Source organism: Homo sapiens, chromosome 1 (assembly GCF_000001405.40).
Source record: "Homo sapiens chromosome 1, GRCh38.p14 Primary Assembly".
Taxonomy (NCBI): Eukaryota; Metazoa; Chordata; class Mammalia; order Primates; family Hominidae; genus Homo; species Homo sapiens.
Window position 1 is genome coordinate 163,184,588 of NC_000001.11, and position 19,653 is coordinate 163,204,240.

The 19,653-nt window shown below is 39.0% G+C and overlaps 1 protein-coding gene and 1 long non-coding RNA gene across 13 annotated transcripts in view, besides 1 other annotated feature; one reads left to right on the forward strand and one right to left on the reverse strand.

Moving 5' to 3' along the window:
- RGS5 (regulator of G protein signaling 5) overlaps positions 1–19,653 on the reverse strand; it is a 179,437-nt gene that overhangs the window by 42,289 nt on the left and 117,495 nt on the right. For 3 of the 12 annotated variants that reach the window (NM_001195303.3, NM_003617.4, NM_001254749.2), the window contains exon 1: positions 18,205–18,329. The exons of the other annotated variants lie outside the window; for them this stretch is intronic. Coding sequence is in view for 2 of the 3 variants with exons in the window: in NM_003617.4 (NP_003608.1) it covers positions 18,205–18,248 (44 nt within the window). In the remaining variant the exon portion in view is untranslated. Of the gene's footprint in view, positions 1–18,204; positions 18,330–19,653 lie in introns of those variants that run through there. 12 annotated transcript variants of the gene reach the window in all.
- The window catches only part of RGS5-AS1 (RGS5 antisense RNA 1), a 51,349-nt gene that overhangs the window by 22,913 nt on the left and 8,783 nt on the right, over positions 1–19,653 (forward strand). The gene's annotated exons all lie outside the window — the stretch shown is intronic.
- Positions 18,393–19,058: an enhancer, noted in NCBI's record as "OCT4-NANOG-H3K27ac hESC enhancer chr1:163172770-163173435 (GRCh37/hg19 assembly coordinates)". NCBI's record gives its function as "activates a minimal SCP1, AML or CMV promoter by ChIP-STARR-seq in primed H9 embryonic stem cells {active_cell/tissue: H9 hESC(primed)}" and the evidence as "EXISTENCE:reporter gene assay evidence [ECO:0000049][PMID:30033119]".

Consider the following 19,653-nt stretch of genomic DNA (forward strand, 5'->3'; position numbering starts at 1 on the left):
GGATCTTGAAGTGGGAATTTATCCTGGATTATCTAAGTTGGCCCAATATAATTACAAGAATCCTTGTAAGAAGAAGGCAGGAGGGTCAAGTCTGAAGGCAATATGACAATGAAATCAGACAGAAAGATTAAAAAATGCTATACTGCTGGCTGTAACATGAGTCAAGGAATGCAGGTGGCCTCTAGATGTTAGAAAAGGCAAATAAATCAATTTCCCCCAGAACCTCCAGGAGGAATGCAGCCCTAGGGATCCATTTTTGATTTCTGACTTCCAGAACTGTATGAGAATGGATTCATGTTGCTTTAAGTGACTAAGCTTGTGGCAACTGTTATAGCAGCAAATACGAAACTAATACACCTCACTTAGCTTTTGTTTTTTAAACTTAGTTAACTATAGAAAATAGACTTAAAACCAGTCAGACTGTTCTGTGATCCTCATTCTACCATTCTATTTTCAGTTAATAGATAATCCTAATTCTTTTAACCTCTTTTGAATTATCTGTTTCTCAGCCTTATCTAATCTTCCTCTCCTGAACCAGCTATTTGTTCCAATATTGCTCCTTCTCTCCTAAACCCAAAAGCTCAAACCAGGCAAGACAGGGTCCTATAGTCTTTATTTACACACACACACACACGCAGAGGGGTGTGAGTGGGCTTCATTTTTATGGCTATGTTACCTATGAATTATTCCCTGGAGTCTTGCATATGGGAGTCATGGCTGCTTTTTTAAATCAAATTAATAACTAACAACTATAAAATTGTCCAGGAAGATCAGGGCTTTTGACTTGAAATCATCTAAAAATTCCTAAAAGACAAGGTGAGAGTTCAGAAGAATGAATTCATCATCTGCTACAAATAGCTTCCCTTTCACGTAATCATATTCCATCAAGAGTCCAGTTATCCTCTCAACCCCCCAGGCTCAACTTGGTTATCTGTGATCCTCCCTTCTCTCTTTCCTCCTGTCATCCAGCTGTCTCATTTACTTTCTAATGTTCCTTGCAAGGGGCCCTTTCATGGGAGTCCCATTCTTACACCTCTGTAGGGAGATGAAGATGATTCCTGATGCTTTCCAGTTCCCTGTTCTAGATCCTTTCTGAGGTTTGGCTGCAAGGTTGTTGCAACCTGAAGATAACTAAGAAAAAGCAAACATTAAGAGAAACCACACATTTCTCAGTTAACTGCATGGTTCACTCAACACATGCAATGCATAAACTTATTTAGTGCTCACAATAATCCTATGAGACAGGTATTACTGTGACCCCGTGACCTCACAGAGAACTTAGATAATTTGCTCAAATTCACCAAGTAATAAAGCAAACATTGATGGGGTTAAAACAAGGTAATGATAAAGGTATAATTCAACCTGGTCTCATGTCAGCATATGGGCTTTTAATTATTATCATGCAATATCACCTCTCTCAGTTGCTCAGTTATTCTAACTGGCAGTTATATGCATCTGGCAAATAGAAATAGAGAAAAAAAAGGTCTTTTTTTTTTTTTTTTGACATAGAGTCTTGCTCTGTCACCCAGGCTGGAGTGCAGTGGTGCAATCTTGGCTCATTGCAACCTCTACCTCTAGGTTCAAGCAATTTCCCTGCCTCAGCCTCCTGAGTAGCTGGGATTACAGGTGCCCACCACCACGCCTGGCTAATTTTTGTATTTTTAGTAGAGACGGGGTTTCACCATGTTGGTCAGGCTGGTCTTGAACTCCTTACCTCGTGATCTGCCCACCTCGGCCTCCCAAAGTGCTGGTATTACAGGCATGAGCCACTGCGCCCAGCCCCATTTCTTTTTAAAGATTGCAGTGTAGTAACCAAAACTGTGTGAAAGATGTGCTAATGGAAGAATAAATATCTTAAAAGCAAAGACAGGGTCCTAGCTACGCGGGAGGCTGAGGCAGGAGAATGGCGTGAACCTGGGAGGCAGAGCTTGCAGTGAGCCGAGATCACACCACTGCACTCCAGCCTGGGCGACAGAGCGAGACTCTGTCTCAAAAAAAAAAAAAAAAAAAGAAAAAGAAAAGAAAAAAAGCAAAGACAGACAAAATTATGAATATATGACCAAAATTCTTAAGTAAAAGTTCATCTGATAAAATAAAATGAAGATGAAATGTAAATCCAGAGGCCTTGCATAAGCTCAAACTCACAACTATGTGACCTTAGACAAGTCCCCAAAACAATTTGGACCTCTTTTCTCATCTATACAAGAAGGAATTGGTCCGTTACCCTGAATCAATTCTCAGTCTGTGATTCTAAGCTGGTCATATTAGAGAAAGGGGAAAAAAATCACACCCCGTATGTGGAGCAGAATCTATCAATTGAATTCAATAGACTTTTATTACATGCCTCTGTGTGATCAAAATTGTGCTAGGCACTCATTCCTAGTCTGTCATAATTGTCAACTGGCTTTGTTATTCTTTTCTTTTTCATGCTCTCGAGCCAGTATCCATTTAATAAAATGTTTTCCATAAGTAGCTAATGGCAGTTATGTATCCCTTTCCCTCAGCTGCACTCCAGCCATCTGCACTCACATTTCAGCATAATTACAAACATCAGGGCCCAATCTGGACCAGGAAGGGAGATAAAAGCTGAGCTATACTTAGTGGGTCCAGAAGATAACAGATTAGAGGGAAATTTTAAAAAATAAAATAAAAGTTATTTTAACCCTCAGATTAGAATTTGAGAAAACCTTATTTGCATTTTTCTCAATCTTGCCAGCTAAATGAGAATGGCTATGGCCCCCTAGTCACATATAGTATGTGTGGTGTTATGATATACATTGGTTTTCGTCCACAGTTCCTGGTTCATAACTCCCTCAGCCTTTGTTACAGTCTTTTGTGATAATGGGTGTGTTAGGCCTCAGGAAACAGAATCTCTTTCCAGCCTTCCTTTCACCTATCACAGGCAGGACTCTAATCTTCTCCCACCTTTGTGATTGTGGGTCTTAAGACACTCCCCTGACAGGTCCCGCCTCATACGCTGGCAGAAGAAACGCTTCCATAAAAACCCAAGAGAAGTGGGTTCAGGGAGCTTCCGGATAGCTGGACACCTGGAGGTTCCCAGAGGATGGTGTACCAGGTAGGGCATAGGAACTCCGCACCCCCTCCCCCATGCCTCACCCTAGTGTCTCTTCCTCTGTATCCTTTCCAATATCCTTTATAATAAACCAGTAAATGTTAAGTGTTTCCCTGAGTTCTGTGAGCCACTCCCGCAAATTAACTGAACCCAAAGAGGGGTCCTGGGAACCTTAACTTGAAGCCAGTTTGTCAGAAGTTCCGGAGGTGCAAACTTACCACTGGTAGGGGGAGTGGTCTTGTGGGACTGAGCCCTCAACCTGTGGGATTTGATGTTATCTCTGCATAGATAGTGCCGGAATTGAACTGGAGGACTCTCAGCTGGTGTCCACTGCTTGGTGTGTGGGAGTTTTTCCAGAAGTCGCAGAAGTCTTCTTGATGATTGTTGTGGTGGTGTGAGAGCAGACGGAAAATACGGCTTGAGGAGAGTTTTTCCGACATAGTATGAAACTGCAGCTGCACTGCACTCAGTTACTAAAAGCCAGAGTTATCAATGGAGTTTAGAAATGATGGTAGATCTGACTCCTGAGGAGCTAGTTCATTGGATATGTAAGGAAATACAAACTAAGATGAGGCATGCTAAACATACAATCCCACGGTCATTGTTATCTTTAATAGCTAAATTCAAAGTGCTGGGTTAGACCTCAGTGTTGGACCAAGTTCAGGCATAAGTTTGTCTGAGCTTTAGCCACTATCCTGAAAGGCACCCACAAAAGGAAAAATTACGCAGAACAACAGAACTACCTGTGAGTCCTCTGGTCACCCAAAAGATAGTCAACAGGGAGAGGGCACAACCCAGGAACTGCTGAAACCAGGGCATATAGTGTGAAGGAGTTCCTTCATTTTATAGATTGGTATCATCAGCTTCCTGAAGAATCTTTACTAAAATGGATTTGGGGTGGATTCTGGACCCACAGCTCAAAATGAGATAATCACAGATGGTAAAACAGGATCCAGAGACACAGGAGGTTATTCCTGAGGGAAGAGGCAACCTGGCGAACTAGAAAAAAGTTACTGTGGCTGGGCGTAGTGGCTCACGCCTGTAATCCCAGCACTTTGGGAGGCCGAGCCAGGCAGATCATGAGGTCAAGAGATCAAGACCATCCTGGCCAACATGGTGAAACCCCGTCTCTACTAAAAATACAAAAATTAGCGTGGTGACACGAGCCTGTAGTCCCAGTTAGTTGGGAGGCTGTGGCAGGAGAATCGCTTAAACCTGGGAGACAGAGGTTGCAGTGAGCCAAGATCGCACCACCACATACCAGCCTGGCAACAGAGCGAGACCCCATCTCAAAAAAAAAAAAAAAAAAAAAAGCTACTGTAAGGTTGTAAGGTCTGTCATCCCAAGAAATGAACTCTTCCTTTCCCCACATAAATGCCATGTAGAACAGCCCAGATGAAGCAGCTGTTCTGCTTAGAGTGCAGGCCACGTGGGACTGTCTTGTGATAATCAGGTTATTCACTCACTGAATATGCCTGTATTCCCAGGACATGGTAAATGCTGTGGGTAAGAAAGCACCATTTGCATGGGCACTCCATATAATCTTACCGTGGCAAAATTAAATGACAATCTGGGAAGTTTTATTGAATTTGCTATCTTGGCTTCCCCTCATGGGTTGTACATATGCTAATAAAAACGATAAGAGTAGTTAACAAGAGGATGGCAAAGGGCAGAAGGAAGAGTCAAGGAACTCTTCCCAACAAGGTAAAAATGTTCAAAAAGTTATTAAGGCATTAGGTGATTCAATGGAGCAAAATAAACAGAAAAATAAAGAGACGTAAAATGGTACTCATGCAAGCACGATAAAATTTTTAGAGGGTTATTAAGAAGTGTGATGAATAAAGCAAACATTGATGGGGTTAAAACAAGGGTCTTAATACAACACTGTCAAAGTTGGTGTGGGTCAAAGTGATCTCTGGTGATTAAAGGACCTTAACTAAGTCCTTCCATCTACCCCAGTTTGGAGAAGGTTAAAAAGCCAGAAGACTAAGATTACAAGGAGAAATATGACCTGCAATTGCTTGGAGCAAAAGTTAGACCACTCAATTGAGATAAAGATTAATAAAGGGGTCAGGGTCTCTGGGCTTGACCCCCTTGTGGGAACCCAAAGCCTTTTGCTATGAGTGGGTAAATGGTCAGAGAGTAGAGAAGAAAAGTTTCCAGAGCTCCTAGAAACAGGAGTCTCATGCACCGTGGTACCAAAACCCACTGGTAAAGTCCTCACTTAAGCTACAATGAAATTGAGAGAACAGAAAAACTTGAGATTTGATAGAATTTGAAATTTGATAGTTATGAAAATATTTGAATTTGATAGAATTATGAAAGTTGGAATGTTTAAGCAGGCTCTGTGTGAAGTGGTTATATTATGGGGATCAACATTGTCTCTGACTGGGGAGTATTTCCCCTACCTAGTATTGTAACACAGAAGACATGTAAATCTGCTCTCCAAACAATGCTAATTGAACACACTAAATTAGAACCAATAAGATTGCTCAAGCCCAAGCAATATAGAGTAGAGGCTGAATGCACATATTCTTTGTTTGAAAGCCCTATACAGAGCTTAGACTGAGGCTTATAGCAAAAGCCTGTGAGTGCCTCCCCGTGACAACTATGAGGATTTTGGACTAGAGAATTTCCATTTGAGGGTCAATTATTAGCTTGCTATTGGACATTAATTTAAACTACCTTTATAACTGAAGGACATAAAATAATCTTGAAACCTGAAATACCCATGGTGTCTTGGTGATATCAGAGAAACACTCTAATGGGGATGGCAGTGCCTGGAAAAGTTCCATAGTAAAATGAACAGGATCTTACACAAGATCATACTACCTGGAGAATGCAAGGAGAAGATACCAGCAGGGAGCCCCTTTTCCCTTAGGACTGACTATGGAACTGCGTGAGGAGCTGCCAAACTCTATCATCATTTAGACAATACCCTATAAACAGTGCTCGACTGACTAACAGTTACTTGGTTTGTGGACAGTAGTTCCACGGTGTATGGACAGCATCCTGTTGGAAGGCTGTCACTCCTATCAAAGAAGATAAAAACAGGTGAGCCCAGTGGGCTGAATTGCATGTTGTTTTCCTAGCAATGACGGAAGAATTTAACAATGATGAAAGCCCCTGTGTTTCAGTTTTTACTGACTCATGGGCAGTGGCCAATTGCCTGGCTATATGGTCAGTGGAAGCCTAGCCCATTAAAGGGATACCCACATGGGGCACAGCTTTATGGAAATGACTATGGGAATTCAAGGGGTTCATTAAAGTAGGACATGCTGATGACCATCAGAAGTCCCTTTCAGGTTTGAAAGGTGATTGGATCAATACATATATATATATATCCCTGTGTGCTCTCCTGTGACGGCCACCTGGGTCCATGAAATGAGTGGACATGGGAGTACTACAGCAAGGCAGAGATGGACTAAATCTGGACATACTCTTCTTGCACACTCTGAAAAACAAAATGCCAGTAAGAACTGTCCTGTTTGTCAGCAAAAGAGACAGAGACTGCCGATGGCTATGTGGCAGATTCTTGGGTGGGAAGGGCAGGAACATAGCTGGCAAGTGAGACTGACGCCAGTAGCCTTGGAGGGCTACAAATGGGTCTTGACAGGAATAGCCACTGACCCTAGAGTGCGTTTTGCTTATGAAGTGTCAGATGCAAATGCTCAAAATGCTATAAAAAAAAAAAGATAGTGCAGCAATTTGGGTAGCCAGCCATCATTTATTCAGACCAAGGAACACACAGTATAGCCTGTAATGTCCAACAATGAGCAGATAGATATCCTCTTCAGAGTAACAGTTTAATGGAGAAGTGAAACAAGTAACTGAAACATTGGTTGTCTAAAATGGGAGCAGTGAAGGTGTGAAGGGCTGGCTTACTGCCTTCATGAGTGCGTTTCTTATTATGCCATAGTCTAACCCATGGTCTCTGGCCATAAACTCTTGGCACAAAGTTGCTAAAACTCTTCTAATTTCCTGAGTGATAATGGTGCTAGGAGCACCTTTTATTCTAATACTTGGTTTCTGACCCTGGTTCTTTACACAGAGCTCCTAAATCCCTTGGAAATTCCTGGGTAAGAGGACCACGTTTTGCTCTAATGAGGCAACTCTTGGTGGCCTCCTGGATAAGGGTTGGTCACTAGAAAAACCAAACTATGATGAGAAGCTTGGAGCTTTCAACAAAGCTTCCTCTGGGGAGAGAAGAGGGGCTGAAGCTTGAGTTAATAATCAAATATACTAAGTAATGAAGCCCCCATAAAAATCTCTAAAATGCAGGGTTCAGAGAGCTTCTGGGTTGGTGAACAAAAATGCATCAAGGGGCTAGGAGGGTGGTGTGCCTGAAGAAGTCACAGAGGCTCTGTGCCCCTTCCCATATACCTTGCTCTATGTACTTCCTCATTTGGTTGTTCAACTGTATCCTTTGCAACTGTATCTTTTGCAATAGCCTTTACGATAAATCAGTAAAAGTAAAAATGTTTTCCCGTGTCTTATGAGACATTATATAAATTATTGAAGCTAAAGAAGGGATTACAGGAAACCCCAATTTATAGCTGAACTTACAACTGGCATCTGAAGTGGGGGGCAGTCTTGTGGGGCTGAGCCCTTAACCTATGGGATATGACGTTAACTCCAAGTAGATAGTGTCAGAGTTGAATTGAATTGTAGAACACACCCTTGGTGCCTACAAAATGTTGGAGAATTTCTTGGTGGGGAAATCCCACACATTGGGTGTCAGAAGTGAAGTGTTGTGTGAGGAGAGAGAAAAAGTTTGTTTTTCCCACTTAGTATAAAATCCAAACTATGGAGATAGAAAAGACCTATTCGCCTTAAAGTGGAAAAAATTCCCATCAATCTACGTTCATCTTTGTGAAAGAAAAATGTTTCTTCCTACCAGGCCCAGGTACACTTTCAGTTTGTGTGCACAAATCTCTGATTTCAACAAACAATCCATCTTTTATCCAAGTCATAAACAATATTGAGGGTATATGTGTGTAAGTGTGTATGCCTGCACATGCATGTGTGTGTTCAAATGACATCTTGTTTTGCACTTCGGTGATTCAGAAGCAAGATTTAAGACTCTGAAAGTCTGTCATCCAGCAAGCATCAGACCACCAGATCCTCTGGGAAAGTCTTCAGTGTGACCTGCACTGTTGACCTTGTCCCAAGTACACAGGTTATGTGGTCTCACACTCCCATTCACTGGATATCTCTCATAAACTATCACTTAAAATAACTTGCCAAAATACAGGAAGCTATTTTTTAATGGAACATCTTGATTCTTTCTAAACTTCCTGAATCCCATAGACAAGTGCCTCATCAAGAAACAGATGTTCGGCACAAGAAAATATCAAAAAGTGGAAGCTTGACCAAAACAGCTCCACATACTTCGCTAATAATAACAAACACTTGCAAAGGAGAGCACTTCACATTTTTACAAGTACTTTATTTCGTGTTGCTTTTCTTCTTCTGACTCTAATATGATAGTTCCAATGTCTTTCTAGAATGTAGAGTTTTAAGTCTCTAAATGATCTGTCCAGATGGGCTAGGTGCTGTTTTGAGCAGCGCCTGGGGAAACAGTTAGGAAGGAAAACATGGAGAATATAGAATAAAGGTCTTAGCCTCATTTACTATTCATGAAACCAACATGGTCATCAAGTATCTACTGTCCAAAGTATTCAAAAGCTGCTTGGCCAATTCCTTTAAACACTGAAATATTTTCTTTTTGAAGGAGAACAAAAATTCAGGTTAAGTTATTCTACCTAGGCATGGCAACTGAATGGAATGCCTTGCAAATAAATACTCTGTTTGGACTTTTCAGGAGCTCTATGGTCAGGGTAAATAAGCCTAAAAACGCACATGGATTAGCTGTGTTGATAATGCATGCATCCTATAATTAGGTTGATCACACCTACAGATTTTCCAGGAAAGACCCAATTTCTAATGCCTAGTCTGGAGGCAAACTATATGTTCCTAATCTGGTTGGAATTTGCAGTTGCTGAGCATATACACGCCTGACATGGATTTATGCAGTCAGCAGTCTTCATAGCACTTCCAAGAATTGTCAGTACTCCATGATCTACCCAGATGGCAGATGAAAATTGGTTAATTATGTAAAGACCTGGAAACCCTGACATACCCTTCTCATCCCATCCTCAAGGATGAAAACTTTTCCACTGTTAAGGCAAATGACAAGTTTACCTCTAAGCAACATTCAGAAGGGCAGGAGTGGGCCACCCTTTCCCACTGGAGAAAATGTAGTGTAGTATAAATGTAGTCAGTGGTGCCACACCCCCAAAGTCACATGCGTCTGTGTTTACTTTTTTATCTTGCCCTCAGTGACATTATACACTTGAAGAGGAAAAAATGAAGTTAACTGTAAATAAAGTGCAAGCATCATACACTGTTAGATTCAGATTCTAATTCATCCTCAAATTGTACAAGAAACCGAGACCACCCTTTTTCTTCATAGAATTCACCAAAATAAAACAGAATCACTTTCCACTGCATATTAATATATACTTTTCACAAACTGGGAGTATATTCTGAACTTATCACAAGTCTTTTAAAGAAATATGGGGTTCTTAATTGAGTCCACTGAGATTTTTAAACATTATGGGAAGAAAATTGCACATATGTAATTGATTGCATCTTTTAAGCTACATTCAGGAGTTTGTTTCCCAGGCCTTCCTATATGACTTAGATGAGATAAGAAATTATAATAAAAATGGAATATTTTCTCAAAATACATGGTGTCCCAATTCAGAATAAGAAAGTGTTGGAGCTGGAAGGAGTATAACAGACCATATAATTGATCACGTCCTATTACAAATGTAATAGTGATACTTGGAGAGGGGAACTGGCACATGACTTATCCTCCACTAGGTAGTAGAAGCCAGTGTTACAGCTCAGGTGCCTGTATTCCCTATCTAGTACCTTTCCCACATGTTATATAGCCTCTTATACTTGTGTCTAAAAAGACTGTGTTTTTCAAATAAATTGCAAAGAAAGAATAAACAGGAAGCCTATTGACTGAGAGAGATATAAGATTAAGAAATCTCAATGTGTGAACATTTTTGGATCCTAATACAAACAATCCAATTGAGAAAAGAGCATTGAAAATATTTCGATTCTTACCGGATATTCAATGAATTATAGAATTATTGTTAACTTTTAAGTATGATCATGGTTTTTAATGAGCTTTATCATTTTGTAAAGACTTGATATGTTTTGTAAGAAGAAATATACGTTGATAATTAAAAAGTCAAAAAACAATAGATGTTGGCATGGATGTGGTAAAAAGGGAACACTTTTATACTGCTGGTGGGAATATAAATTAGTACAACCTCTATGGAAAACAGTATAGGGATTCCTTAAAGAACTAAAAGTAGAACTACCATTTGATCCAGCAATCCCAATCCAGTGTCTGCCCAAAGGAAAAGAAGTCATTATATGAAGACATATGCACACTTATGTTTATAGCAGCACCATTTGCAGTTGCAAAGATATAGAACTAACCTACGTGCCCATCGACCAGTGAGTGAGTGGATAAAGACAATGTGGTATACATATACCATGTTGTATATAAGAATGGAATAATGTCGTTTGCAGCAACTTGGATGGAGCTGGAGGCTATCATTCTAAGTGAAGTAACTCAGGAATGGAAAACCACATATTGCATGTTCTCACTTATAAGTGGGAGCTAAGCTATGAGGATGCAAAGGAATAAGAGTGATATAATGGACTGTGGGGAATCAGGGGGCAAGGGTGAAAGGGGGATGAGGGATAAAAGACTGCCTATAGGCTACAGGGTGCAGTGCTTGGGTGAAGGGTGCCCTGAAATTTCAGAAATCACCACTAAAGAACTTATTCATGTAACCAAACATCAACTGTACCCCAAAAACTACTGAAACAAAAGTAACAATAATAATTTAAAATATATATATATTGAAAAAATTATGGATAAAGTATTTTTTAAATACTGTACCATTTTTAAAATTTATCTTTATTTTTTTTTAAAAGATGAGGTTATGATGAGGAAGGATAAAAAGGAGTAAGTTTTATCAAAGGCCTTAGCACATAATTGACTGACTTAAATTATGTTTCCTTCACTGCCTACAAAGGGGAAAAGAGAGATAAAAGGAAAATAATTGTTTAATAGGGGTCCTTCTACTAAAAACTAGTCACCTTAAATATAATATTTCATTTATTTCTTTTAGCACTTCTGAGAAAATGAAGTTCAGAGAGGTTTGGTGACTTCCCAAAGTTCACACAGTAAGGAAGAAATAGAGGAAGTTATGAGCACTGTTCTTTCTACCCCGCCACACTGCAATTCAAGCGCTGGTCTTGAGGCAGGGGAGAGACTGTGAGCTCACATCCTTCCTTACTGTGAACATTTTCTTTCCTATTCCTGAATCCTGTAATCTTAAGAGTAACTTCCTCGATCGTTAGAAACAATCAGGCTTTCACTGTCTTTATCCTCTGGGTGACTCAGCCTTCAAAGTAGTGCAGATGCAATGTTATCTGAGAACTGATTAGAACTTTAAGGGAGGAAAGAGATAGGAAACTGTTATCTTCTGGCCTCCAGCCATATTCTGGTTCCTGTTACTAATGACTGATCCTGACTGAATTAATTAAAATTTAGCCCCTTTTCTCTCTGGCCAGCAGTACAGACAAAAACCATTAACAATGGCTCCAGAGACATAAATAAACTCTCTCCCTAGATATCATCTATCCCGTAATATTGTGTAGTCCTTGCTAGAGAAGGAGAAACAAATTAGATAACCTTTCTGGGATGTTTCAAAATGTAAGATTCTGGGATCTAAAAGTGTTATGAATTGATATCTGGTGATTCAGCATAACCCAGACTAAATGAAAGAAAGAATAGAAAGGGGCAACTAGCTGGAATACAGAATGCAATTCACTAAAGAAGCTTCAACAGTAACTGCATGAGGAACAGCCCAGGCAGTACAACTTCCTAGAGCTCACCTAAGGGATACCATCATTGCAGCCAAAAGAAGACTCACCTCTTTAACAAGGCTTTCCTCATTATAGAAATGCAGACAGTCTCCTTCACTTTTCTTTTTCTCCTAATCCCCACTCCCCTTCTCCCATAGCAGGCACCTCTCTTTATTTAGCAACACACACTCTTTTTCCGATTGTGGCCTAAAATGTCAACACTGATACTGTTCTTGGTCTCCCCAATACCCAAGGAAAGCAGAGGAAATACCAAGCTGTCCTAGAAGTGCTCTTGTCTCTATTTGCTGTAACTTCATTCATGTATTCCTTCAACAAAATGTTTATTTGGTGTCTACTATACCAAATACAGTCTATCCTTTTAGTAATAAAATCATTTAGGTGAAGGGGAGGACTATCTTTCCCCTGAATAAATCTCTTCCATCCTCAGAGTTGGGAACAGATGAGCACTGGAGAAGTTCCCAGAGAACCATATGCAGGACTTGCTGCCCAGGAGGTTAACTGTGGTTAGAAACTCAGCGGTTTCCCTCCTTGCTGGCCTCTGAGAGATAATACAGGTTGTACATAGATGTCACAACATCAGCCAAATTGGCTGTGCCCGCCCATCTCTGGGTCTCTGCACACACAGGCCTGTCCCCTTCACCTAGATGGCCTTCCTTCTCTCTCCTCTTCCTGTCTAGACCTGGCTAACTCCTCTGTCCTCTTAGACTTTCTTCAAGCATCATCCGTATAACCTTGTAAATTCTTCCCTGCCCACTAAAAGCTCTAGGGGCCCCGCCTACCACCCCAACTTCTGTGCTTCTTGGCACTTTATGGATATATTCCTTCGTAGTGGATTGCAACACTGAGCATTAATTTTTTCTTATTTATCTCCCTAACTGGGCTTAAATTTCCATGGGAGCAGGGCATGGGTCTTTCATCCATATGCCTAAGGCAAGTACACAGGTTTGAAAGGCAATCTAGAGAAATCACTGATATTGTTTCATCAGTAGGAATCAAAATAAATGTTTTTCTTAGTGATCCCCCTCCAAATTTTATTAAATAGTTCATTCACTTTCTTAACATTCTAAAGTTTCACTACAATGCTTTCAATGACATCTCTAGAATATCAGGTATAGTAAGCTTGAAATTCATACTTATTCTCAGCAAGCATGATCCTAAACCCAACCAGAAGCTCTGCTAGGACCTCTCTCAGGTTTCTTTGATGGTCCTCAATTCATTCCAATTGAGCTATCAGTTGTTCAAGCTAATTGCCAGTCTTTAATTCACTTGGTGCTTGCCTTTTCTCTACAATTAGCCCAAGGATGTGCTTATGCCTTTGAATTTATTAATCCTGAAAACCCAGGAACCTTGACTCACTCTAGTGCTTTTAAAGGTTTAACAACCTCAGATTAGTTCATTAGTAGTCCTGCTTATTAGCTGCCTTTCTATTCTAAATTGTCCACACTTGACCCACATAAATCAGAGAACATGGGGAAAAAAATGATTGTTTTGTAAAATAATAATACATTTTAAAAACAAAATTTTTAAAAACAAAAATTTAAAATAAATTTAAAAATAATAAATGTTTGAAAATTACCTTTCCCATTTACTTCCTATGGCTTCTGAAATTCCTAGCATTGACACACCCTTGAGATGGCCAAAAGCCCCTGTGTGAACTGTGGATTAAACACATTATACCCTTAGCCCTTCTCAGTCTGAAACAGAAATCAGATCTATGCCAGTCACCCAGAGTAGCAAAGGGCTTGTAGCTCTTTAAAATACTAATAACTGCACTGGTTCCTTTATATTATGATGATATTTAGATTTTTGAGACTATTGCTCATTAAAATTTTAAGGAGGCCTCATATACTTTTATATATTTAAAGAAACAAATAATCCAAACTTTTGGGCAATGAATAACCATAAGCACACAGTTTTAAGCCTAAAAATCAAAGTTGTCATCATAACATAAAGCAACCAGTTCAATTATTAGTATTATCAGTTTTTTAAAATAATCCTCTTTTTTCAGAGATGGGGTCTCACTCTGCACCCAGGCTGGAGTGCAATAGTAGCAATCATAGCTCACTATAGCCTCAGACTCCTGGGCTCAAGCAGTCCTCTCACCTCAGCTCCTGAATAGCTGGCACTACAGGTGCTATCCACTGTGCCTGGCTAATATTTGTGGTGTTTTTATTTATTTATTTTTTGTTGTTGTTTGTTTGTTTGTTTTTAGAGACAGGGTCTCCCTGTGTTGCCCAGGCTGCCCTTAAACTCCTGGCCTCAAGTGATCCTCCCACCTTGGCCTCCCAAAGTGCTGGGATTACAGGCAGGAGTAATGTGCCTGGCCAATAGTAACATTTTTTGTTTCATAATACATTCATCTTTTCCCAAAGAGCAATATTTACTTTAAAATTTAAACTTGTTTAGAGAAATTCAACAGACTCTGAAAATAAAATAAATTTTCAAAAGAAGCCTAAAATTCAAACTTGAAAATCATGGGTAAAAATAAGGTATTAAATTGACGCGACTCTTTTCTTTTTCATTGACAGTATAAGATTCTCACCCATATAGTACAGGTTTCAATATGCCAGAGGGTAGAAACTCTGTGCTTATGGTTATTCATTGCCCAAATGTTTGAATTATTTGCCTCTTTAAACATATAAAAGTATGCGAGTCCTACTTAAAATTTCAATAAGCAATAGTCTTAAAAATCTAAATAAATAAAGAATAGTTTATACAAATATATCAAAGTTGACTTTGGCTGAAAGCTTCCCTGGACATTCAGAAAGGAATATTTTCTAGGATTAGATTTCTCCTTACATGTCATGGAAAAGTTAATCTTTGTTAATTGTTGAAATTTTCTTACTTTATGCGGCAGATTTTTGGATATCCTTACCCATTATATATATTCCACCCTTTAATCTTATGGAAAAAAACTTCTCTTTTTGTTGTTTAAAAAAAAGTTTATTTTATATTCTTTGCTAATAAAGAGTTGCTGTCAAAAACAATTCCCCTTACAGGAAGCAAATTATTCTTATAATTGCTTTCTTATAAATCAGCATTAGAATCACTGAGCAGGTTGCTTCTGCCATGGCCCAGTGGTTTCAGCACAGGGCTGGGTCCTTGATTATTTTTCATTATTTGATTCTTCATTCCTCCCAAACTTTATTTTTATGTTAAATTAATTAATTAATTGATTTTTAGAGACAGGCTCTTGCTCTGTTACCCAGGTTGGGGTACAGTGGTGCAATATGACTCACTGCAGCCTCAAACTCCTGTCCTCAAGGGATCTTCCTGCCTTAGCCTCCCAAAGTGCGAGGATTATAGGCATGAGCCACCATGCCCCACCTGCTCTCAAACTTTTATAGAAAAATAGGAAAATTTTCCTTTAATCACATCTCTTAGTAGTCATTGAGACTAAGTGTACCTCACTTCGTTTACATTAGGTTAGAACTCGAAAACATGTTAGAGAACAATGAATCCAACTTTTACCTATTAAATTAGCAAATAGAGTCCTGGGGAAGTGAAATAATTTGCTCAGGGACACAAATTCAGATAATGACAAAATTGAGTCTGCACCTTACTCCTTAACTAGTACTCTTTCCACTCTGATAAATAATGATATGCTATTCAGACTTTTGTAAAGTGAATTATATTTCTAATGCCATATGGAAGTCAGAACTGAACTCTTCAGCAGAGCTTTTCATTTAAAGCAGATTTTTCATAATGTGTATTTGTTGCCCTAATTTATTTTATATGAATTTTTAAATATTTTTATCTAAGCATTGAAGCATATCCATGTTCCTTTTGTGGCTTGGAGAGAAGAAATGCAAAGACAGGAGCCTGTGTGGGGGAGGAAGGTGGGAGTCAGATAATAGAGCCATGGAAGGCAGGTTTGGAAGCATTTATTCAAGTGTCATTTTCCCCTTAGAATAGACAGTGTTAGACCCTTTCCATGGGTAAGTACTAACAGCTTCACAGCTCCACAATTCCATTTCTCCAAAACATTCTTCTCAGGCAGCATGGTAATTAGAAATTACAATGACCCTATTTACGATGAGAACAGATTATGAAACAATATGTAATAGCTCACAATAATTGCGTATTCTACCACATCCCAATAAATAAAAGACTCAGTCAACCTATGGGGAAAATAAGCTCACTCCTTTACCACTCACCACTCTTCAATATTCTACATGAACATTAGTTATATCCTGGTGCATAAGAATTTACTGTGCATCAAAAAATAAAGTGATCCAATATTAATGTTGCTAGTGAATCAGATATAATACAGTAATAGGAATCATTGAAAGAAATGTTCCATCCATATATCTCAGTGAATATTATGCATACTTATGAGAAAACATAGAGCAAAATAATTAACATGGCAAATTTTCAACAGAAATTTTATTGATTTCTCACCAAATGCCAAGCAATGTGTCATAGAATCACAAAATGCTTGGCAAACTGATGTTACAATCATTCTAAAGTCAATTGTTTGCCAATTAATAAGATTTATTCACTACATAAGAGTACACAATTTCAAACAATAAGTATGCTAAAAGCATCCATTAAAGTCAAGTTGCAATTCTCATAGTTGCAAAAATGGCAAAGGAAATAATTATACATTGTCCCATATTCAAGTTTTCTGTGCGTTTCTGGAAAGGCACAGAAAACTTTCCCTATTTCTTAGGCTTTCTATATACTAGGTAAGAGGAAAGAACAGGCTAATAGCAATAAATAGTATCCACCTTTAAAACCTATCCTCTTCCCCAGGGTTGGTACAATAGACAATATTGATCCCTTATTTACAATCTAACTTCTACAACTTAACAGCTACAAGTTTCTTTTATGTAAATTTAAAAAACAATAATAATATTCTATGCTTTTATTTAATTATCAATATGTAAGTATGCACAAGGTCATTAGGTAAACTATATTTCTTACTATGGATCATAATAAAAAAAAGTTTGGAAGCCATAATTCAGAGAGTAAGTCTCCCTGGAGGTTTCATATTCAGTTACTAGATAGTATTGTTGGGAGAAAAAATTATATGCTACAATGTTATCTCCTTAAAAATTATTTTTAGGTTATTTCTAGAGTGGAAGGCATCAAAAAGAAGACCTGAACTTGTAAGAGACAGAAGTCATAGATGGCCCTTTAAACAATAAAATCTTCCGAGACAAACACTGCTAATGCCTTTAGGGCTGAACATCTGTGCAAGGATCTTCTTTATTTACTTTAAATAACGAGGGATCAAACCCAATTTAATCAAATCCATTCTCAATAAAAGGAGAAACATCCCTACTTCTCTCCATCAGAGAGGATGGTTGGGTTAAGTTTTCTAACAAGTAAGATATTTGTTCTTCTATTTGCTTAGCCTAGATACCTAGGATTCTCTCCAGAATATTGTCCAGCCTACGGACAACCAGGGAGCCTCAAAGATTTTGATGCATTTGTCTGAAAAAGAATGCTAGCTAATAAATAACCCCTGTGTCCCAAGGGCTTTTTCTCTGTCTAGCCATCCAGTTACTTCTATCTAATGAGGTCAGAGAACAAAGAACAATGGGAAATTTCCTCTTCCTCACTGCAAACTTGCCTCCCTCTCCCAGTCCCTGTACATTAATAAAAATTAACATTTATACAGTCTACTAGGTGCCAGACATGGTTCTGAGTGCTTCATATATATTAATTCATTCAGTCCTCATAACCAGCCTGTGAGGTAGAGAACTCTCGGTATCTCCATTTTACAGATAAGGAAACTGAGCTACATAGAGGTTAAATAAATTGCCCAAATAGTACTTACACAAATAGTAAGTAGTAGAGCCAGGGTTCTAATCTAGACAGTTTAATGTTGGAATCTATATCCTTAACCATACAGTTTTTACTCTAAATAAGGACTTATAGAATAGGCATCTCCTTGAAGGAAATGATGTTCTGGATATTAAATGATGTATGAAATACTCTATATTGTATTAATCTCCTAGCTTGGATCTTTCAAAATCTCTATATTGTTTACAGAGAAGAGATAATACCCAATCTACAGTCAAGCACCTGTTTCACCTCAGCTTAGCCATAAACTACAATACCTCTGTTACCACTGGGCAGCCTCCCTTGAGTAAAGATTCTCCATATCTGCATCTCTTAAACAAAAATAACTTGGTTCTCACCTTTCCAGGCATGAGTGGGGCAAAGCTGCAAGTCCTTTGCACATTTTGGCAGGTGGCTTAGCTCCTCCGCTTTAAGTACAACTTCTTAACAGCAGAGCCAGTCTTTGAAAACTTCAAAACTGTCTGGGATGCCTTTCCTCCTGAGGTATATATAGAAGCTCTTTCCCAGCCCTCTGTTGCTCTTCCAGCCAATCCAGAGCCTTAGAGGAAACTGCAGGCTGGAGAGCAGCAGCAGTGGGCCCTGAGGTGGAGGAGGGAATCCTTTCTCTGCTACAGGCACTACTGTGGCATAAGGCTTTCATCTGCTCTTATCACAACACTCTCTTGCTAACCGGCCAGGGCAGGGTTAGGCCCTAAACTGTGCACAGGTCATTGGTTGTTTGAACTCCTAATCTCAGGCCAATCACAAGGAAGATGTGAGCTTCCTGTGAAGCAAAGTGTCTTGGACCACTTCAGATCGGTCAAAGTCATAGATTCTTAGGACTGTAAGGGCTCCTGGAGATCGTTTAGCCCACTTTGTTTCACAGTGAAGGAAACTGAAATCTAGGGAATTCAAGGAATGTGTATGTGAATACTTACCAAGTGCCAGGCACTCAGCTGGATGCTAGGAATTCAGAGAAGAAAGAGAAAGCTCCCTGCCCTCAAGACCCCAAAACACATTATAAGTAAGTGATGGAGGCCGGGCTGGGATGTTGTGAGCCTTCAGGAAGCACCAGGCAAGGTTTTCTGGAGCTGAGAGACAAGATTACTGTTTATATAAATCAAAACAAATATGAATAATTACTATATATTCTTTATGAATCCATATGTCTGTGAAGGTACTAAAAAAGTGATCTAGGAGACCAAACACCAAAATCTTAGTAGGGATTGAGTATAATGATATTATCTCTGAACTCTGTTAATTCTGTCAGTGGTCTTCTGATTATACTTTGCTTGGATGACTAATGCTTTGTAATTCTTTGTACCTCCCCACCATAGCCATCCTTGCCTAGGCTTGTCTTTCCTTCTCCTTCAAACTTTTCCTGCTTCCTATCACTCAAGGAATATTTACCAAAATTTACCTGAATTGTGTCTTATCTTGTCGGGGCCCAAGGTGCTGATAAGTTAATCTGTAAATAAATGCCTAAAAGGTAGGCATGAGTCCAAGCTTTAAAAAAAGTGGCACTGAATAATCCGTAAGAAAAGCTCTGAATTTGGAATTGAACAGTACTCTCATAATTTTCTCTGTTATCTGAAATTAGTTGTTTTAAATGACTCCCTCTTTATATACCCTTTTTAGGCAATGGTTGATCAACCCCTGTTACTGGCTTGTAAAGTCAATGCAGTGCATTATGACCTGATGTTTTTAATGTAATAAATAGAATAGACAAATATCCAAGTGCATCGGATGTAAAAAGTATTGTTTTCTGAAATTTTGACTTTAATTATCAATATGTAAGTGTGCACAGG